This window comes from Homo sapiens, chromosome 9 (assembly GCF_000001405.40).
Source record: "Homo sapiens chromosome 9, GRCh38.p14 Primary Assembly".
In the NCBI taxonomy this organism is placed as follows: domain Eukaryota; kingdom Metazoa; phylum Chordata; class Mammalia; order Primates; family Hominidae; genus Homo; species Homo sapiens.
The window spans coordinates 5,449,712-5,472,011 of record NC_000009.12 but is presented as its reverse complement, the minus strand read 5'-3'; the positions used below and the strand labels follow the sequence as shown (position 1 = coordinate 5,472,011).

The window sequence follows — 22,300 nt, the reverse complement described above, 5'->3', positions numbered from 1 at the left end:
CACAGGATGGGGAACATCACACACCGGGGCCTGTCGTGGGGTACGGGGAGGAGGGAGGGATAGTATTAGGAGATGTACCTAATGTAAATGACGAGTTAATGGGTGCAGCACACCAACATGGCACATGTATACATATGTAACAAACCTACATTTTGTGCACATGTACCCTAGAACTTAAAGTATAATAATAAAAAAAAGTCAATTATATGTCAATTAAAAATAAAACTTAAAAAATATATTAGGCCTACTTGTGGCAGACAGGCACACACTTGTAAAAGGGACTAGAACAAAAGTTTAATGAAAGCTTATGAACCATTTTCATATTAACTTTTCTATAATACAGACCCCTCAAGTGTCACAAAATTTCCATACCACCAAGGCAAGCCAGGAAGACTAGTTCTCCATATCCTTTCCTGATTAGGAAGGCCAGATATCTTGATGTCTAGCACACATTTTTATTGCTTTGACTGCCCAAGGGCTAGCATAAATAGTGCATCATCATTACTACTGAAAACATCCAGAGGCCAGGCACCGTGGCTCACACCTGTAATCCCAGCCCTTTGGGAGGCTGAGATGGGTGGATCACCTGAGGTCAGGAGTTCGAGATCAGCCTGGCCAACATTGTGAAACCCTGTCTCTACTAAAAGTACAAAAATTAGCCAGGAGTGGTGGCAGGTGCCTGTAATCCCAGCTACTCGAGGGGCTGAGGCAGGAGAATCAGTTGAACCTGGAGGCGGAGGTTGCAGTGAGCTGAGATAGTGCCATTGCACTCCAGCCTGGGTGACAAGAGCAAAACTCTGTCTCAAAAACAAACAAACAAAAGCATCTAGAGTCAAACACATATTCTTAGAAATAGCCATTATAATCCTTTAAGAGTATCTGATTCAAATAAGTGATAGTCTTTTAAAATGGAATTTCATGACTAAAATCTCACCGGATGACACATTAAAAGGTCTATACTTCCTTGAATGATAAGTTTTGTCATGCTTGTTTAAAACCACAGATCTATGGTCCTAACCATTGCTAGCCCTTAATCCTCAACTTGGCTTAGTTCTAGTTTCCTCGCTTTATTTTCAAAACTTGAAGACTGCAATACATCTATCTTCCTACACACTGGATTGCATACCCGTTTACAGATCTGGGAAAAGTACTTTCTTAGAGGTAAGTCCCTTTGTTTCCCTATAGTTCTATTGGGTTCCACTCCTTCTCTCCCACCCTCTCTCCCTTAGATCTTCAATGTAGATGACAGGATTTTGACTCTTCTTGGTATGGTCCTAAAGGAAGCTGCCGAATGAGAGAGAATGAAAATTTTCAATACATTCTTTTTTAAAATAAAATCTTTTGATACTTTTTTCATTGTGCAGGATTCAAAAGCATGCTGTATAAAAACATGCTGTATAAGCAATGAAAAAAGAACTAGGAACAAGGCTGCAAATATTCCAAGTAACTTTCTCCACTGGGATGTTAAACTGAACATTTTATTAAACACAAAATAAACAAGAAAATGGACATGCTGGTGTACCAAGTAACAAAATAAATAAGAATATTTTATTAAATTAATGCAGGTACAAAAAGTGACAATCAAATGCAGAATTAGGTATCATCTCTGCCTATGCCATTTACGATGAAACATGAGACAAAAGGGATAAAGTGCCTTACAAATCCAACACCACAAGGAGGAGTTAGGACTTAGGAATAGACTGAGTAGACTATGTGCCTTGCTCAGCCACAATTCTTGCCTGTAATTCACACAAAGAACACTGTCACACCAATTACTGTACAAATGCACATGTACAAACAGATAACACAAGGAGCTCTGTTGGAGACACTGTTTCTTCAGCCTTGACATGTGGCAAAGCCAAGGTACTCCTTGTCATTGACACCAGAATATGGCCAAGAGGGAAAGGAAACTCTGGGATCTCCCAGGGCATCTGAATCTCGAAACCTCCAGGAAGCCTCTTAGGAGGGCTGTGTAGTGATGACAGCTGGTGGCATTCAAGGGTTCAAGCACAACGAATGAGGCTTTTCTGGCACAGGGTAGCTAGCAGTCAAGGTACACTGCCGGAATTTCCAGAAAGAAAATGTGATTTTGCAAGTACAGCATCAAAGTGAAGTTTATACTTGACAGAAAGCAGAAAACAAAAGTTCCAGACATGATTCTGTCATACAGAGTTAATAATAAGATTGCTTTTTAGGACTAGATTGACTCAGTGCACCCTGGAGAGCCCATGGGTCTCCTTTTGAGCAAACATAAACAAATCCAAACTCTGTCCTAGAGCAAATACTTAACAAATGGTGGTTGTCTAAATGTATATGTAGGACATATTTAACATATACTGGATCATATGAAAGATAATGAAAAGCTATGGGAAAGATAACTTAGAAACAAAGAAGGCATGGATCCTCAGCCCTGGGAACTTCAAATTCATTCCATCTGCTATATAAGAAACACTAAAATAAATAAAAATAGCAAAGTACACAGCAGACATACAATGTGTTACTATTTAGGAAAAAAATTTTAAAAATACGTGCTTTTAACATACATTTCCAAATGTAGACTATCTTTAGAAGAACATATGAATGAAAGGCAGTAGCAGTTGCTTCTGGAAAGGAAACTTGAATGGCTTGGAGGATGAAGTGGAGATTTTCCAACCATCTCCCATGGGATCTTTTGAATTTTGAATCATGGAAAGGTATGAATTTAAAATTTAGTGGCATTTAAATAGAAAAGACAGAACTGTTAAACAATACCAGACACTATATAAACAAGCATTAGATTATATGGCAAAGGCAAATCAGGAATAAATATAATGCTAGAAAAGGAATTCCAGTGTTATTTTTCAGGGTTATTTTAAGTACCGACCTCTCTTTGTAAATGAAAATTACTCTGATTATTAAGATGTTTAAGTATATCCAACCGTCCCAGACCACATTGGCCTATTTCCTCCTCTTGGCAACACTGCTCGGGTTTTCCCCTCGCATCATCCTTATGCTATGACACTGGACTAAATTGTAATAATACATTTTCTTGTTAATCTCCTCATTATACTATGAGCTCCTTGAGGACAGGTACTTTGTCTTGCTCACATCTGTAGATTCAATGCCTGGCACAGCGATTGATATTGCAAGGGCACTTAATAAATGGTTTTTGAATAAAAGAATTGCTTAAAGTAAAATATAGCTGTAAATTGTATTATAAAAGGACAGTGGGTGGCAGTCTGAGGTCTGCTATTTACTGGTTTGGGCAAGTTACTTAATCTGTTTGCTTCCTCAGCTGTACGATGGGTAAAATAATAGTGGTTATCACAACAGGGTGGTTACAGCGATGAAATGAGATTATGTGTGTAGGCTACCACATAATTGTAAAGCTGATATTTAAATGGAACAGATACTGCACAGACACTTGAGGTCTGAGAATAAGATTAGGTCAACCAGAGTATTAATGGGTTAAATAAAGGTGACATCCTATGCAACCAACGGTTTGATCTTTATGCTTCCAATGTATACTTGTAGTTATAGAGGAGACCAAGCACCTTACAAATACTCCATGTTTTACTAGATGTGAGCAAATCATTAAGCAGCAAGTTTAGTTTGGCGACAAAATTGTAACATCTACTACAATATATCTTCAAAAGAAATCATTCACAACCACACTCACATGACAAGAAGACCTCACAGACTCAAAATAAATAGGAAAAACTCATACATAAATACTGTCCCGTTCCAACACTGAGACTCTCAGTCATGCAGAAAACAAATTGAGGCATTGAGTGGAGGCAAAGGGCACTTCTGCAGGAACTGACCCTCAAATTAGGGATTCTCAACCCGTCTTCCTAGGATGAGCAATGGATGATTTGCTTGGAGGCTCCTTGTTCAGAAGTATCCTTTCTCCCTGTCACAGGCGTCGATGAGCCCCTCAGGCATTTGAAAGTATCAAGGTCTCCCTCCAGGCTCCCTGTTTGACTCCATCTTTCTTCATTCTCCTCCTCTGCTTTCGCCAGGTTCCATTTTCAGTGCTTGGGCCTTTTAAGTCCCACATTGCCTGCATCCCACGGGCCCATTCCTTCCTCTTGTCACGCTCAGCCCCGATGAACCCCTAAACCACAGGTTGAGAATCCCTGCTTGAAGATCAGAAGTTCCAATGCTGGATTACGTCTCCTCCAAATGTGTATCTGGAGAGTGATAATAGTATATTAATTTCATGGGAAGTGGTCTGGGGAAAAAGTAACAAGAAATCTAATAAAAAACATAACTCATAGTTGCTGATATGATAAATGATAAATTTGAAATGAGAGAAAGCAGCAGGTTATATTTGTACCCAATTATCCTTACATGATATCCTGGAAAACCCCTCAGTCCTGAGCAAATTGGGATGGCTTGTCCCCCAGCATGACCCAAACAACATTTGCTACTTAGCTTTACAACACAGATGATGCTATGGGCCACAGAATGAAACTTGCCTGAGCTTGTCCAGGTTAATTAGACTGCTTTAAACTTGGGCTCATTGTTAAGTTTGGTTTCTAACTACATTAAAAAAATTAGAAACCTTAATATAACTTTCTTCTTAGTTCAATAACCTGGATGAGGTTTTTCTGCCCTGCTTATAAATGTAAACATTTGTAGCAAAATGGATTGAAGCAGATGGGTTAAGAGTAAGGGTCTGTGGTTAGGCTAATGGCCCCCAAGCTTGATTTTTGTGATCAGCTGTGTGTTCTTGGGCACTTTACATTATCTTCTTGACCCTCTGTTTTCTCTACTGTAAAATGAGGATAAATTCTAGTATTTCTCTCTCTCTCTCTCTCTCTCTCTTTGGTAATGGCAAGGGGTGGGGGATTAAATGAGATACCGTGCATGGTGCAATTAACATAGTATTACAATACTGACACACAATATTTTAGAATCAATTAATTATCCATCCACCTAAGTCATCCTTGTCCCCTGCTGCAAGGAGCTGCTAGGGTGCAGGGCAACAGAAGATTAGCAAATGAAGCTGACTCCTTCCCCTTCCCTGCTCCTAAACCTCCTCAGACGGTGGAGGAGTTCTTGTGTTAGCTGTGAGGCAAAGGGGAACCAGCATTCTTTAAAAGGAGAGGAGATTATGACTGATGGATTTCTCTTTGTTATTGCTTTAGCTTTTTGTTTCCTTTGACTTTTACTTCCCAATTCCTTCTGATATTCTTACCACTTTGCTTCTTTGAGTTTGTATCTTGGATGCCACATTTTTTCACATCCATCATTCTCCCTTGAGAAAAAGAAATCATTTTTATTTCCATATAGCACAGCTCTACATCCCATACAGTGACCCAAGTTTAAATTTCAAGTTCTGTGAAACATTTGTAATCCCTAGGAAGTCTGGTGGACATCCTTATTCCACAGGTCCCAACTTATGAGGTTAATTAATTCAATAGTGTAGGGCACATGCTTTTGATCCTAGATGTTCTTGAGGAGTATACACTTTTATTTTTCATCTTTTCCCAGAGATGAACCAAATTCTGAGGTATTTTAATATCTATTGATTTCTATCCATTTCTACTGCCAACTAATCTTTTTTTCCAGAGAAATATTCAAAATGCATGCTGGCAACAATTATTTCTTTGTGCAAATCAACTCCATCTCAGGATCTTACTGTCATTGAAACTTGATCCTTATATTCTGGCTATCTCAGTCCTGTTAAGAATATAATTTTTGGAAACAGCTTATCTCTACTCTCTCAGTTAACACTACTTTCCCCCATGTAAGGGGTTATGGGGAATTTTTCAACGACTATTGGAATCCCCTTCCATATTCTACTTCCCTATTTAACATCAGACAACTCTATACCATCACTGGATCTCTTGGTATACTTCTCTAAGTATTGGAGGAATTATTTACTCTGACTCATCTTAAATGGGAGGAAATTATTTGAATATACTCATTTTCCTGGATTTTAATTGTTCCCACAGGTAAATGGAGAAATGAACACATGCAAATTATGTAACATCCTCTACCAAAAATTTTGCAAAATACTCTATGGTAAACATACTACAGTTCTACAGAGGAACTATTTTTATTACTTAGGGTACCCAGAAACCAGCTGGTTGCAACTAATGCAAGACTAAAATGCAACTGAAAATGACGGGCATTTTAGCTCTTTCTCTTCTGTAAGTCTGTGGTTATTTTCATGATAGAAAAAAACTGTATGACACTGCATCTTCTACCTCCATCCATACCCATTCTCCTGCCCCTCACCCCTTACGCTTCATCTTCACCCAGTGATCCCACTCAGCTTCAATATAATTGCTGTTGAACAGTGGAATGCCTTTGCACCACCTTGCAGAGGTTAAGTCGGGTTTCCTTGCAGCCATGATCCAATTCTCACCCCTTCCTCACCCCCAGTGGAGACCACTGCAATTAAGGAAATACTACCTTTTCTTAAACGGAAGATGAATGTCAGTGCTACACCAAGGCATAATAAGATGGCTCCCAGAATTACCAAGTGAGTCCTTTCATTTGGAGGATGTGCCAGAGGTAGTTCTGAAAAACAAAACAAAACGAAAACAAACTGACTAAAGATAAAATTTTGATGGGAAGGGGTCAGGAGAATGGTCATCCTTGAAGTTTAGTTTAGCTTTAGGATAATTTTCTTAAATGCCAAAGTTTGAGTGGCTGGAATGGCGAGATACCTGTGTTAAAATGGGAACAGCATGGAGAAGTGTGAGAAGCCCAGGCTTTGAAAAGGTGGTGCTGGGGCTAAATTCTGCTGCCCTTAACCAGTTTTGAGGTCTTGGGCAAGATACTTAACCAGTGTACAAAATACAAATGCTAATACATTTCTTGTGAGGCTAATATTTATAATGTGCTTGCACAGTACCACATGGAGTGGCTGCTCACTATTAAATGGCGGCCTTGATTATTTCACTTCCTCTTGCTTTTTTTTTTTTTTTTTGAGGCAGAGTCTTTCTCTGTTGCCCAGGGTGGAGTGCAGTGGCGCAATCTGGGCTCACTGCAACTTCCGCCTCCCAGGTTCAAGCAATTCTTGTGCCTCAGTCTCCCGAGTAGCTGGGATTACAGGTGCACACCACCACACCCAGCTAATTTTTATATTTTTAGTAAAGGCAGAGTTTCACCATGTTGGCCAGGCTGGTCACAAACTCCTGACCTCAAGTGATCTGCCCACCTTGGCCTCCCAAAGTGCTGAGATTACAGGCATGAGCCTCCGCTCCTGGCCCCTCTTGCATTCTTTAATATAGAAGCTAGTAGCCTACAGTACATGGCAGAGATGGCCCACAGTAGAACATGGAAGGCCAACCAGCACTGCTAAGGAGCTCCCACCTCCTCCTATCTGTCATCATGATTGGAGGCCAATGCTTGTTGTCTTATCTTTCTCTGCAGTTTGAACATCTCTGGACAACAAGCCATTAGTATCTCTTACTAGGCTCCTTGTCTGGGGTACCATGCAGGAGGAAAGGGGGTCCCATGGTACACAGATGTTCAGAGGCTGCTAACTCCCACCTCTCACCCTTAGTCAGCTCCTGCCTGGCTCAGCTCTCCACTGAGACCCATGATCCATCTTTGACTACCCAGGTGAAACTTTAAAGACACAACAACAGCCAGCTTTTTCCGTAACTTACAGTTTACAATGCCTGTTCACGTATGTTTTATTTCAGTTTCAGAACAACTTTATGAGTTAGGCATGCCAGGTATTTAAAAAAAAATCCCCAATTTACAGATGAGGAAACAGACTCAGTGCAGTTAGGTGAGTTACTGTAGGCCACCCAACAAGTAAGTTGTCATAAAACAGCTTGTAAATGGCAGGAACCCACTAATCTAGCTTTTACTGAAAGCCAGTTCAATACCTGAGGACTCGTACCCCAGTAAGAGCATCCCCATCATTTTCTAAAGTTTTTTCCCCCTCTTTCTGTTCACAACACCGTCCTGGATTATCTTTTCCTATTGATTGACTTTTCTATCTAATTTTTCAGTTGTTTTTGCTGAAGTACGTGGCATTTTCCTATCAACATGTATTGGGGGAGGGGGCAGTGAGCAGCTCTTCTCAGAATATCTTTGTGTTTATATTAAATATCATGCTCACTCGCCTCACTTTCTTTCACATTCTGAGCCTCTCATCAGACTCTGTCTCCCACCCTACCTACTTCTGTAGAGTAGTGAGATAAAAAAAAATAGTTGAATTTGTGCAGGCAATGGTCTCAAATCATTTTCATACACTGTTGCTAATCTGACCCTTACAATAAGCTTGCTCAGTAGATTATAATCCTACAGGGAAAGTGAAGCACACAGAAGTCTAGTAATTTGCCCAGGGACACACAGCCTCATGTTCTATGCACTAAGCAGACTGCTAGAGTTGAAATATTGTAGACTACCTTGGGAGAGGCACCGGGGAGAAAGGGTCCCTCATGTTTGGCATAAGATAGAAAAATATGTTCCATTTATTTCCTGCCACCCTGGAAAGAGGGAAGCAGCTCTGATGTGCCAGGATTTGGATTCCTGAAACAAGGCCTGAATTGAGTATTCCTCTCAGGTATTCCCCAGGTTTCCCGGCTATGAAAGCATTTCCCACATGGTGTTGGATTGCCTGTTTTTTGTTTGTTTCTTAGTTTTTTATCTGTTTCCTGAAGAGTGTGAACTGAGTCTTATTATTCTATGTGTATCCAATGAGTACTACAATGCATGGAACAAAAGGTATATTCCATAAATATCTGCTGAATGTTTATTAAGTAACAATATGGTTTGGATGAATGGAGGTGAGGAATTAGGATATATTTTGTAAACATAGTGTTATTCATTCATTCATTTATTCAACAATCACTGAATGACTATGATAGGCAGACATCATGCTAGGTGCTAGGGGACAGTGTTAGACATATTTTAATGGACACATTCAGAATATTACCTGGGATGACCAATTCAGCTGTATGGTTTTCCTCAGGATCTAATCTCCTAAAAGTGCAGTAGAAAATCTCATTAGTTGTTGTGTTGATTCTCAGTGTGCTGGTCACATTGAAAAGCTTCTCCTCTCTCTTGGAATTGGTGGTGGTGGTCTTACCACTCAGGACTTGATGGTCACTGCTTGTCCAGATGACTTCGGCCTTGGGGTAGCCCTCAGCCTGACATGTCAGTTCATGTTCAGAGGTGACTGGATCCACAACCAAAATTCTTTGGTTGATTTTGTTGTATGGGGCTAGGACATAAACAAAAAGAAGTCAGGGCTTTTGCTGAGCACAGAACTACGTACATAGCTTGATGCTGTCCACATTAGAAAGAGTATCAATGCAGGCTGGTTCTCAGAGGGATATGCTTAATGTTCAGATGCCTCAGCCGTGGGGAACACCTGCTAGCTCTGCCTCAATTCAATTCAAAGTTGGGACAAGTTTGGATTAATAGGAATGACTATCTTTCTATAAAAATCATGTTGGTACATTTATTGGGCTCAAACAAAATGTAAAGATTAATTTACACTAAAACCCCAGACTTCACCACTATGTAATATATCCATGTGACAACACTGCTCTTGTACCCCTTAAATTTCTACAAAAAATAATTTAAAGAGAATTATCTTTAAACCAGAAGTCTTTCTATTCAAATACAAAATATCCCTCTCCATTTGTTCAGGTTTTCATATGTTTCTCAGTAAAGTGCTTCTTCTTAAATTTATTCTTGGATATTTTATTTTTGTTGTTATAAATCTGTCTTTATAAACATGAATCTCTCCAGCTGGTATGCTTTCTTTTCTTAGACTTCAGTAAACAGAAAACCTGATTTTGAGGTGTCATTCACTTTTCTGATTTGAAGTCAATGATCAGAAATTAGATATGAAAATACATAGTATTTCATCTGTAAACAGTGATATATGTTCCTGGTGATACTTTTTAATGTTTAAATTTGTTCTTTATTTTAGAAGTTTTAAATTTACAAAAAAGTTGCAAAGATAGTATAGAGTTACTGTATACTCCTTACCCGGTTTCCTCTATTGTTAGTATCTTACATTACCATGGTACAATCGTCATAACTAAGGACGTTAGTACATTATTAATAACTAAACTGCATAATTTATTCCATTCCTCCAGTTTTTCCCTAATATCCTTTTTCTGTTCTGGGATGCTATCTAGGATACCACATTATGATATTTACATTTTAAGCTTTTAAATGCTGGCTATTTTAATAAATCATTTAAGTAATTATGCTCAAGGAAGAAAGTTTGATTCAATTTTAGATCATTGGTTTGGGACCCTTTCAGGATTAAGATACGTAGTTTGCTGACAATTCTAGTAGATTGTTTAGTGCACCTATATAGCATAAGAGCTTTATTCATGTTTATTCATTACAAGTACATTAACATGTTCTTATTTTGTTGGTATAATCTTTTTTTTACTTCTAATACTATAGTGTAACCACTAATGATCTAGAGCCTTAATTCTCCATTCCTTTACCAAGGACAGCAATAGATTTGTGAGGTAATTTCTTCACAGAGAGTTAATACAAAACGGCTAGGATCAAATGAAACTGAAATAAATAATGAGTGATGTTTTGATACTCCTATATCAATGAAACCACTACCAGTGGAAACACTGGAAATCAATAAAATTATGATTTCAAAACACAAAAATAATAGTTCTTATGTGTAGGTTGCTTTGGGGTAGCTACGGATTTTCAAATTCTCTTATCTAATTTTGACTAAACTAACCATCTTACAAAATTAAACAACTAATTAAAAAGTTTCCCACAAAGAAACTGAGGACTGAAGATAATACTAATAATTCAAGCACAACCCAGAGGAAACAGCAGAAGTGACACTTTTTATCGGCCACTGTATGAGGTGGTAAACAGTAAGTACTTAATTAGACCTCGCAGTGTTATATAAAAAAACACAAACCTCAAGATTATTGACACCATCCACCTTTGTTAATGATAAAGTTCACCCTAAGGTATATTATGCCTTGACATATTAGCTAATGATAGTGAAGCATCACAATTAGTAAAAACTGAAAATATTGTTTATTAAATTTTTATTTCAACCTCTTAAAATGTCTGTTTTTGTACAAATGTCTATTAGGTTGAACCAGATGTAACTGGTAACATTCAACCTTTTTTTGCTCTTCAAAAACGGCAGTTTCTTATGATACAACTTATATATTAACAGAAAGTAAAATTTTTATAATTACACACAAATGTGCATGCACAAACACACGAGTTCAAAATGTTTTACAGATGAGATGAGTAATCAAAATTTTTGCAGACCCAGAACACTATACTAATGTTGGACAATCAAAACCAAGAAAAGGTCATGATAGTTTTGAAGTCAACATATAACTTGATACGTACACCAGAGGTACAAATATAGGCAATAAAAAGTGGTTATTAAGGGCCCAGACTTCAGAGCTAATCTGCTTGGGTTTAGAACTAGCTTTATCATTTTCTAGGCTGGGTGAATTTGGGCAAATTACTTAATTTCTTTGGACCTCAGTTTCCTCATCCTTAAAATGGGAATAATACCACTTATCATGGAATCAAAGATTCCATCATTGAAAGACACACTCAGATTTCAGACACAACAAAATGTGAAAAATACTCATCTTACATGATGAAGCACTTACCCCCTAGAGTCATTTCCAGGAGGAAATGAACTAATTTAGACAGAGTGTTCAGTACAGGGCCTAACACACAGAATAAGCAAGTGCTAATTGTAGTAGTACTCGATAGTAGCAGTAGCAGAGCTGCTCCTCTTCCTCCTTTTACTACTGCTGCTCCAGTGTACCCTTTAGAAGCTGCTAACAGTTCCTGATGAACAGTCTGGAAATAAATTTTCACATATCCAAATCTGTTCATGTTTCCAAAATTTTAGGCTAATCCTATTTGAGGAAATCATTCATTCATTGACTCAACAAATATTTTTTTGTGTGCTCTTTTCGTACCACCACTCTGCTGTATATCAGGCCCTGGGGATGCAACAATATTATAAAACAGGCCCAAATCTTTGTGCTTGTGGAGTTTATATTCTAGGAGGAGAGAGACAATAAACAAAACAGAAAAGTATGATATGATATGCTACACAATATACTAGATAGAGATAAATGCTACAGAGAACACTTAAACAGGGCTGGGAATTTTGGGGAGAGATGGGGTTGGTGGGGAATGACAGCAGTCGATTTGGTCCATATGATCCAAATAGCTTTATCGGGACAACTATGCAACACTTTGATCTTTCAGCTGCCTAATCTCATTGAAGGTTCTGAAAGTCTGAATGAACATTTCGTTTTCCCTGCTGTTAGGTTCAGCGATTAAAGAAAAACACTTTTAATTGAAAGTTAGTGGCCTGAGAGTCTGGCATTTAAACTCACAAACAAGAAAGGTGCAATAACACCCGAAGTGATAGTGATAATTGAGTGAATCCAAAACTAAATTCTTTCAAATTTCAGTTTTGAAATGTTTCACCTTTAAAATACCATGGTGAGTAAACTCCTGTGGGGAAGCTATGTTACCACACATTTGCTGTGATGGGAAGTGAAGTTCAACAGCATTACTGTGAAATCATTTGCATATGGAGGTGACTCAGGAGTTCTACTTCCCTGAGTTGGGAAGCTCCTGCAAGCCAGCTGCCTCATTTCCATTGGAGACACGGCCTCAGTGCAAGTGAAGCTTGGTGGTTGCCTTGTTCTAAGTGCAGAAGGTTCAGACTTTTGGTATAGCTGAACTCAATCCCAAAACCACTGTATGCAAATGACAAGATGGATTGGGAGTAGAATGCCAATTAAGTAATTTACAATACAAAATGGAATTGTCAAACAAATCAGGTCCTCAAACCTGGTTGGTCATTTGCTTTGCTCCAGGAAGAACTCCCCCTTGGAAAAACCATCAGTGCCGGAAGATTTCCTATTGTGTTGATCCATGGCAAAGGAGACTGCAGATACACAAGGGATATTATGGAGCCCAGACGACCTGAATAAAACCCTTCCCTACTACAAGGACAGCTGTCCCTTCCCTACACACTCCCTACAGGCTGATGAGAGACCTTTTTTGGAAGCAGAAACTTATACTTTATGCTGCCTTCTTCCTGACTGCCAGGATTATACTCTTCCTTTCCATCCCAGATCTAGCAATGCTGTTGATGAGGCTAAGTCATGATGATTTCTTTAATATCTTGGAACACAGTAGATGCCTGATATTTGCGGATGGACTGGAGAAAAACTGAAAGTATAAACCACAACATCTCAAGAGATGTCATGAATGGAGAAGCATATGGTAAAATATAATGAAAATTAAATCTACTTTACAAGTGGTATCTTCTTGACAATAGTGGCATTACCTGAGCCAGTATCAGGGACCAGAAATACAACATAAAACTGATACATTTCTCTTAATCCCCACATGATTTTGTTTTTGAGTTTATAGTTATCAGTGATCATTGATTAATAATTGATCAGTGATCAGTGACAAATGTATACTTTTTCTACTTGTATTGTTAGCCCTCAGATTGATGGTAGTTAGCCCAGGAATGGAAAGACCAAGGGGAGATGATTTAATTCTAGTCAAATATTAAAAGGTCATCATGTAAATGAAATAATCCCAAGACTACAACTAGAGGGGCAGATTTCAGCTTACTATTAGGGAGTAATTTCAACAGGATATGGAAGGGATATCCAAATGGCAGGGAGGCCATTGTGGGATATGACAGGGACGCCATTGCAGGAAATATAAGAACAGAAGATCCTCTGGGGGATTTTTGTTCTTTGTGGGAGTTTGGATTAGCTGCTCCTGCCTGGGATCCTTTCAGCTCTCAATTCTGTGAAACTCAACAATGAAAGCAGAGGTGTTTTCCTTTACTTAGCTAGTGCCAACACAAAACTTTGAACTCAAGTGACCTGATAACATAACTGTGGGTCAATACCGAGGAACTAACACTCCTAGTTCCTTTTCAATTCCCCAAGACAACATCAGTATAGATTTTCAAGATGAATATATGCCCAGTAAGTATGGCTTATCCTGTACTGGAAGAATAGGTTCTTTCACACTTAATGTGATTATTTTTTGTCTTCATAGGGTGACTTCAAGTCTTTTTTAATGTGAACCTTACAGTGGGGTTTGTTCTGAATATATTTATTTGCATTTGATATAGAGAGGCTCAAAAAAGGAAAACTGACGGACCTAATAAAATAAAAAAATAGTAGTTGAATAAAAAAATTTCTGGAGGGACACACAAATAATGGTTACTCTCTCTGCATGCCATGGGAGATAGTGGTGAAGGGAGGAGGGACACTTTTGCAATTCATTTGATCTCTTCCACAGTATCTGAATTATTTGCAAGTATACGTATTCCATTTGTAATAAAAAAGTAAAGACTAGAAATTCTTTTTGGAAAACTGTACATACTGTAGAACATGGCTCTGTGTTGTTTGTCTCTGGATTTCCAGTGACTATCAAATAGGTGCTCAAGAAATTGGATAATTATGTGAATGAATTCATGAATTGAATGAATGAATGAACAGACTATGCTGTTCTGTTTGAAAATAAGTATGGACTTACAAGAATGAAAAGTCTTCAACACTTGGAATATGTTTTCAATAAAGATCAGGCCTCTCATCTATAATAATTCTTACCATTGACTTTCACAGTAATTCGCTTGTAGTCGGCACCACCATAGCTGATCATGCAGCGGTACACCCCTGCATCCTGCAATTTCACATCTGTGATCTGAAGTGCAGCATTTCCCAGGGAGAGCTGGTCCTTCAACAGCCGGGCCCTCTGTCTGTAGCTACTATGCTGAACCTTCAGGTCTTCCTCTCCATGCACAAATTGAATAATGTTCTTATCCTCCATTTCCCAATAGACAATTAGTGCAGCCAGGTCTAATTGTTTTTCTACTGGGAATTTGCATTCAATTGTCATATTGCTACCATACTCTACCACATATAGGTCCTTGGGAACCGTGACAGTAAATGCTAAAAAGAAAGAAGGACAATCTTCAGAAAAGGGAAAATTCCTCGAAACATTTACAAAATTGGCACAGCGTTTATAAATCACTTTATCTGGTCGGTTATGTTATCATTATATTTAAGAACTTGCTAAACACATATTTTATCCAATGGGCTTGAAATATGTTTTGGGACACTATATCTCATGCTGAGACACAGTGTCCCAATAGCAGAATAATAAAATTAGCTAAACAAGTTGCCCCCACAATTTATAAACATATATTACTGTATAAATATTATATGGAGATGGAGTCCTTACAACCAGGGAGACTTGGTTTCATGTAGACATCCCCAGAATGTCCTTTGACAGGACACCTATTTGCTTCCTACATAGAGGGAATGGTAGATTCTAACAGTCATCTCTTTTTACTTCCCTAAACTTTTGATCAGTTTTCTGGCAAGAAGTACATTGGTATGGAGTTCAGGAAAGAGCACAGGGTGATGCCAGTACTGTGTTAGCCTGACATTTTCCATGTATCTTACAATTCTTCCTTAAAGTATCCTCATCAGGAAAGGCATGTCACAGAGCAACCAAGACTGAAAGATCAAAGGATCTTGGCCTTGTTGAAAGCAAACAAATAAATGTATACATACAGGCCATTTCCCCAGATATTTTCAGTAGTTAACCCTGGGAAATGGGTAATAGATTATTTTGTGTCTTTCAATTTGTCTATATTCTCTATATTTTTACAAAATGACACAGGTAACTTTATCATTGCGTAAAGTAGAAAGAAGACTTTGCCATTGTGTAAAGTAGAAGAAAGAATAGAATGTTCTCTCTATAAGAAAATTGCATGCATTTTAAATGATCATTTTAGTTTTAAACTCATGGTTAAAATATTTAAAATATAGAACCTAATGGAAGGATTTGGTGTCTTACCGTTCAGCAAATGCCAGTAGGTCATGAATATAAAGACAGCAAATATCCTCATCTTTCTGGAATGCCCTAATTATGGAAAACACGAAAAGAAGACTGCTTCACTTAATAATTAAACATACAATATGACAATATGGGACTTGGTGGTTCTAACTGAAATAGTCTTCTAATAACCAGTCATGATTGACTTGTAATTGTGGAAACCCAACAGGGAATTGGAAGTTCAATATCTTCATTCCATTGCCCACAGCCACATAAACTTAAGTGAAAAAAGTTACTAAAAGATGAGAAGTTTCAAATTTATTATAGTTACAGGCCGTGAAAAAAATCTGCCCACTCAAAAGAAGCCAAGAAGATAATATTGCACCAAATTCCTCTCAATTATTTCATGTTTTTTCTGCATTGTAACATACCTAGTAGAACCTGCCCTGTACAAAATTTCAGAGCAAGGAGAATCTGACTTTTACTTTTCCAACCTGTCAATGCTTTTTCCCCCTACAGCTAAATACTTTCATCTTACCCTTTAGCTATTCAAGGCTTCCACTTCACTGTCTCAGCCATGCTAGTCCTCCTTCAGGTGCCATCCTTCAAAATCTCCTCTTCTGCCCCTCTCACTTATTCTAAATTATAAATCTATTCTCTCAATAAACAGATTCTTCTACTAACAGTGGGGAGTGGGAAGGGGAGAGAGTTGGATTTGACTAATTCATACTAAGATATGAATGACTCACAGCCACTCTTCCAGAGTATCTGCCTAGATTCTATTCTTCATTTAGTCATCCTGCTTGAAATGTGACTAATTATTTCGTTTAGCAAACACTGATTGAGCACCTCTTCTGTGCTAGGCACTATTTTAAGCATGAGGAATACGGAAGTCAGAGTGAAAGAAAAGTCACTCTCCTTTTGCAGTTTATGTTGAAGTAGGGGAGTAAAAGATTTATACTCTATTTCAGCCAATCTGTGCATTTATTAATATTTTCTCCCTCTTCTGTTATACATATATTTACAAACTTTGATAAGAAAGAGGTAAGTTTTCCCTCTTAGTGCCTCTCCAATCTTTGTATACAGACATGAACTCACAAATGATCAACTAATCGATGCCACGTATATATAAGACAGGAGATTAATGTTCCTAATATATAAATAGCTCCTAACAATCAATAAGACAACTATACAAACTACACATAACCCATGAGGAAAAAAAGTGAAAGGTCATAACATATAGTTCAGAGAATAAGAAATACAGGTGACATGTAAACATATGAAAGATGTTCAATCTCACAATAAAAAATATAAGATATGAAATACCATTTTCACTTATGAGCTTGACCACAATTGTAAATATTTCTAATATTTAGTGTTTGTGAAGATATGAACAAATAGGCTTTCTTACCCACTAATGGGAGGATTTTTTTCTTTAGGGGGCACTTTGATACTTCCTATTACAATCGTAAATGCGGATGTCATAAGACCTTTCACCCTCTCCTAGAAATCTATCCTACTAAAACAAAAACACACACACACACATATATATATATATGTCTGTATATGTAAAGGAAGAGCATTGCTCATAACAGCAAACTGAGAATATCCTAGATTGTCTAAGTGGTTAAACAAATTTTGGTATATTCACAAAATATAATACCATTAAGGACTGAATTCAGCATATGTACATGTACTGATTTTGTAAACACATAGAAAGTAAGTTGCAGAACACTACATGTAGCAGAAATCCACTTTTGCTGAAAAAAAAAAGTGTGTGTGTGTGTTTAGACACAGGAAATGTCCAAGATATTGACAGTGATTATATTTAGGAATTAAATTAGAGGGAGAACAGGTAGGTTTCACTCTTTATTGTTTTTAAAGGGAAAAAAGGAAGGAAAAGACAGAAAAAGAGAGATGAGATTATGGATTTTTTTTGGTGTTCTGTGTCCAAATTTCCAAGTGAAAGAATGTTTTATTTTTAGTATCAGGAAAAAAATAAAACCAAAATTTCATGAATCACTTCACCTTACCAAACCGTAGAATGTTTAGCAGACCAAGTGATATAATGGAAAGAACCCCAAAATGGAGTCCAAACATCCAAACTGACGTAGAATAATAACATTCGTTTATTTTTTATGTTTTTTTCTTTATTATTAAAGTAATATAATGGAATTACAGAAAATAAGAAAAGAAGGGGAAAATCCCCTACTATTTCATCACTCTCACCCAGGGAGCATCTGGTGATGCCTGGAAACATTTTTGGTTGTCAAAATTGGGCTGGTTGAGGGAGGACTGCTATTGCTATCTAGGGGCAGAGGCCAAGAGTGCTGCCAAACACCCTGCAGTGCACAGGCCAGCCTCCCACAGCAAAGACATACAGCCTAAAACGTCAACAGTGCCAGTGCTGAGAAACCTTGTCACCACTGTGAGCAAAAAACATTTCAGTGTATATCTTTCAATTTTTTTCCCTGTAATCTTTTAAAAAGTAATTTATAACCTTATCATACATTTAATACCCATTTGTTTCATTAAAGCTTATGGCATAAATATTGCCCATCTTACTGCATGGTATTCATAAGCATCTTATTTAACAGTTCCATAATATTTAATCCCTCTATTGTTAGGTATCAGATTGTTGCCAATTTTTTAAAATATCATAAGTATTTGTGTGTTCAGCAAATATTCGTTGAGTGCCTACTGTGTGCCAGGGCCCCAGGCTAGGCCCTGAGGATAGATTTTCCCAAATAGTGTTGCTGATCAAAGAAAAAGAACATTTTTCTGGTTCTCAACACATGTTGATAATTGGTACTGTTACACTGTATTTTCACCCATTGTTTAAAAAATATTATTTTTTTGCTAATTTGAAAGATCTGATCATTTTTTGGTCTGTTTATGTCACTGGTTTCTTATCAACCTGTATGAGTCCTTCATGTTAAAAGATAAAAAGGTTAAGTGAAATAACATGAGTCATCATCCTCTTGCCAGTGTTAGGTACCTATTTTTTTATTTCTTTCCTTTCCGTCTATCCTGTAGATGTGGAATAGCGATGGCATTCAGGCCTGTGAGGTCACATTTGCTAAAATGGGGCTGCAGCATCTATCAGACTATCTTTTCCTTGGGCCAGAGTTAACTGTACAGTTATAAAATATTACTTATAAAATATAAATATTACTTATAAAATATTTTATAACTGTACAGTTATAAAATATTAATGTGATATTTTATGATTATTGTATTATAAACACAAATTCACTTACTAGGCAGAAGAAAACTTAAAATACCCCTAATGCCAAGCAAAGCATTATAACCATATGGGAATAAAACAAAGGGACATTAAATCTAGTCATGGATTACAACTAATTTTGCCAATGTTTATGGCCTACTCTGGTGGAGTTCTTGTCCTTTAATGAATTTGGTTGAAATTTTTAGGAGTAATAAAGGCTTCCTGGAGGGTGATGGATTAGATCCAATATTTACTTAATTTCTTATCAAACCCTCTCTTCCACAGCTCCATTTCCTTGGGGTGCAGCTGTCATTAGTGAGGGACGAAAAGGCAGAATACAAAGATCATGTAAATACACACATGTTCTTTAACCTCTAAACCTCATATCAGGGCAGTTGGTCTAAGAGAAGAAGACTGACATCTTCTTCAGGTAAGAATTATGACCATATGTGAATTCCCATATCCGAATGGAGACATTTAAAGAGCAATGAAATGTAAACTGGGGAAGAAGTGATGGCTCATTCAGGTTGGGGAAGTGGGTTTGTCCCTGGGGGAAGCCCAGTATAACACTATGGAACTAATACTACTTCTCTATCTTCCAAGGGTAGGATGGGTAGGAGGATGAGATAGAGAAAAAGTTAAGCAGCCAGGAGCAGTGGCTCATGCCTGTAATCCCAGCACTTTGGGAGGCCGAGGCAGGCGGATCACCTGAGGTCAGGAGTTCGAGATCAGCCTGGCCAATATGGTGAAACCCCATTTCTACTAAAAATACAAAAATTAGCTGGGCGTGGTGGCAGGTGCCTGTAGTCCCAGCTACTCGGGAGGCTGAGGCAGGAGAATCACTTGAACCCGGGAGGCAGTGAGCTGAGATTGCACCACTGCACTCCAGCATGGGCAACAGAGTGAGACTCTGTCTCAAAAAAAAAAAAAAAAAGACAAAAAAAACCGGTTAAACTTCCTTTCTCAAAAGTAGGAGCAAGAGGCCTGCATGGTGGCTCCCGCCAGTAATCCCAGGACTTCTGGAGCCTGAGGAGGGAGGATCGCCTGAGGCTAGGAGTTCGAGAACAGCCTGGGCAACATAACAAGAGCCCCATCTCTACAAAAACAAAAAAAAAATTCTTAAGTAGGATCAAAGATTAAGACAGTTGATTTATTAAACCTCTACTAAGTGACCAAACTTTATTAAACTCCATGAAACCCCATGCCCAACCTCCTTCTCAGTCACACTGAGACACTCTTGTACATTTTCCACATGGGGTTTCAATTCCCCACAGTATTTCTGTGACTTCCTTGAAGACCACACTCTAACTGCTGTCATGTGGCCTCTGCCTACCTACTTTTACTGAGAAAGGCTAAGTTTTTCTTCAGAGTATCATAGTTCTCCTTAAATACTGTTGACGACTGTCATTGTCAACTGATACATCCTTTCTGGAAAGCATTTTCAGTTTTCTTCAAAAGGCCTTTAAAATATTCAGGCTCTTTGACTAAGTAGTTACACTTCTAAGTTTACTTGAAGGAAACAATCAGCAATATTCCAGAGATATATATGCAATGAGTTCAGTGAATGGCTAAGACAGAACCACTGTAAATAACCTTTATACCCAACAGTGAGGAATTAATTTCATTTAGTTACCCAATCTAATCGAATGCAGCAATGAAAACATTTTTTAGAAGGTTATTTAATTCATAGAAAAGCATCCACAGTAAATTTTTTTCAAGTATTAAAAAAAGAGGTAGAACAATGGTACTTTTACTCCTTGTGTTATAAGACAAACCCAGACTGAACTTTGACATAGGCCAAGGTCAATGTGTCTAAGAAATGTTTTATTATACTATTTTTATTCTTAGGCTCCTCCATTCCTCTTTTAGGACTCCTTTGGGTTCTCAGAATGGACAGAGCAAATAAATTCCGTTCAGGGATCCTGGACCTGCTTAGCGCAGGAAGAGACTTACTTAGATGCTGCAGCTGGGATAACTTACACAAGTCATGTTACTAGCAAGCAGCTGGCGGTGGACTTGGACCCGTGTCCAGACCTCCAGCCTAGCATCAGAGCTATATTCTGAACACACAGTCGCATAAGAATGACTACCTATCCTATACTACCTATCTTATTTATTTTTAGAGGTATAAATTATTTTTAGAGCAAAACTGAATCGCGCCTGGAGGAAGGCCAGATGCATTGCCTGTTCTTATTAACCCCAACAGGTAATTGGCTCTACTGCCCCCTAGACCATCGCGTTCCCTTTCCCTTCTCCTCTCTCCATCCCAAAGAAAGGGTGTAGAGACCCTCCGTCCTAAAGTGCCCAGCGAGCTAGCCAGAGATACTGGGCCGTGGGCACCCGCGGAGGAACAACGCTCCCTACCTGCAGGCGGACAGAAGCGCGGCTGGTGCGGAGCCTCGGGAAGCTGCGCAGAACTGGGGCCGCGCGGGACGCGCCAGCTGCTCAGCGTTGCGCCAGGCCCGGAGGCGGGGTCCCGCCCACCTCTGCCCAAGGCAGCAAATCCAGTTTGCCGGGCGTTGGACTTTCCTGACCTTCGGTGAAATCGGCGGAAGCTTTCAGTTTAGGTATCTAGTGTTGGTGTCCTAGGAATAAAGCTGTGTATAGAAATGAAACAGAAAGTGAAACATGTCAGTCCAGTTTTCTTGTAAATGAGATTTTCACCGGGAAGAGTTTCGAAGATTAAAGCAAATCCACATTTAGTATGTTATTAATAAAAAAAGAAATTTACAACAAGCCAACATCTGAACGCACCTTGATTTTACCTTCAGAGGGGTAAGAGCTTAAGGTTACCCCTTAACCTTTATCAGAAAGGCGTCCCCCTTTCTGATAAAAGCCTCTTCAAGGTGACTGAACATCTTGACATAACTTGATATAACTCTACAACATATAAAAAGTCAGCAGCAGACCCATATGGCTTTGGTTTTTATTCTAGAAAGTAGGTGTGTGTGTGTGTGTATGGGTGTATAATAGGAAATATATTTTTAAATCGTGGATTCTGTGACTTCCTCAAAGTTCCTCGACATAATGAAACTTCATTTGCTTTGTCATTAAAAGAACTTCCCATCCCGAGCTACATCTTTTAAGAATGCTCAGGGTCCCTGATATTCTGCCACCCTAAGGATTAAGGCTGCGGAAGCCTATTCTAGGTGAGGGTTAAGAAAGCCCTTTTGAAAGCTTTGGGTTAGTGAATGGGCCCAAGATGACAGACGATGGTGTCATAATTTACTTAAGTATTATCCCGCGCTG

The 22,300-nt window shown here is 38.4% G+C and overlaps 1 protein-coding gene and 1 long non-coding RNA gene across 6 annotated transcripts in view, besides 5 other annotated features; one reads left to right on the top strand and one right to left on the bottom strand.

The window, feature by feature from the left end:
• The window catches only part of INCR1 (interferon stimulated noncoding RNA 1), a 172,297-nt gene extending 157,716 nt beyond the window's left edge, over nucleotides 1-14,581 (top strand). The window contains exon 3 of the long non-coding RNA XR_007061406.1: nucleotides 12,825-14,581. This is a non-coding gene — a long non-coding RNA (interferon stimulated noncoding RNA 1). The remainder of the gene's footprint in view (nucleotides 1-12,824) is intronic.
• On the bottom strand, nucleotides 1,458-21,470 carry CD274 (CD274 molecule). 5 transcript variants are annotated; one of them, NR_052005.2, is made up of 8 exons: nucleotides 21,416-21,470; nucleotides 15,847-15,912; nucleotides 14,592-14,933; nucleotides 9,044-9,178; nucleotides 8,891-8,937; nucleotides 6,473-6,513; nucleotides 5,183-5,242; nucleotides 1,458-4,172 (listed from the first exon to the last, which is right to left on the bottom strand). NR_052005.2 is itself a non-coding variant. In NM_014143.4 (7 exons), the coding sequence occupies exons 2-7, from the start codon at nucleotides 15,896-15,898 to the stop codon at nucleotides 4,150-4,152; spliced, it is 873 nt and encodes a 290-aa protein (NP_054862.1). In that variant the 5' UTR covers nucleotides 15,899-15,912; nucleotides 21,416-21,470; the 3' UTR covers nucleotides 1,458-4,149. The 5 variants fall into 5 exon arrangements, 4 of the variants coding, with proteins under 4 accessions (NP_054862.1, NP_001254635.1, XP_047279218.1 ...); NM_014143.4 differs by having other exon boundaries at nucleotides 6,406-6,513; nucleotides 8,891-9,178; NM_001267706.2 differs by lacking the exon at nucleotides 14,592-14,933 and having other exon boundaries at nucleotides 6,406-6,513; nucleotides 8,891-9,178.
• Nucleotides 12,469-12,763: a silencer, noted in NCBI's record as "tiled region #9164; HepG2 Repressive non-DNase unmatched - State 24:Quies". NCBI's record gives its function as "represses a minimal TATA promoter and a strong SV40 promoter by Sharpr-MPRA in HepG2 cells {active_cell/tissue: HepG2}" and the evidence as "EXISTENCE:reporter gene assay evidence [ECO:0000049][PMID:27701403]".
• Nucleotides 12,469-12,763: an enhancer, noted in NCBI's record as "tiled region #9164; K562 Activating non-DNase unmatched - State 7:EnhWF". NCBI's record gives its function as "activates a minimal TATA promoter and a strong SV40 promoter by Sharpr-MPRA in K562 cells {active_cell/tissue: K562}" and the evidence as "EXISTENCE:reporter gene assay evidence [ECO:0000049][PMID:27701403]".
• Nucleotides 12,493-12,552: an enhancer, noted in NCBI's record as "active region_28162". NCBI's record gives its function as "activates an Ori minimal core promoter by ATAC-STARR-seq in GM12878 lymphoblastoid cells {active_cell/tissue: GM12878}" and the evidence as "EXISTENCE:reporter gene assay evidence [ECO:0000049][PMID:35858748]".
• Nucleotides 21,194-21,353: an enhancer, noted in NCBI's record as "active region_28161". NCBI's record gives its function as "activates an Ori minimal core promoter by ATAC-STARR-seq in GM12878 lymphoblastoid cells {active_cell/tissue: GM12878}" and the evidence as "EXISTENCE:reporter gene assay evidence [ECO:0000049][PMID:35858748]".
• Nucleotides 21,644-21,693: an enhancer, noted in NCBI's record as "active region_28160". NCBI's record gives its function as "activates an Ori minimal core promoter by ATAC-STARR-seq in GM12878 lymphoblastoid cells {active_cell/tissue: GM12878}" and the evidence as "EXISTENCE:reporter gene assay evidence [ECO:0000049][PMID:35858748]".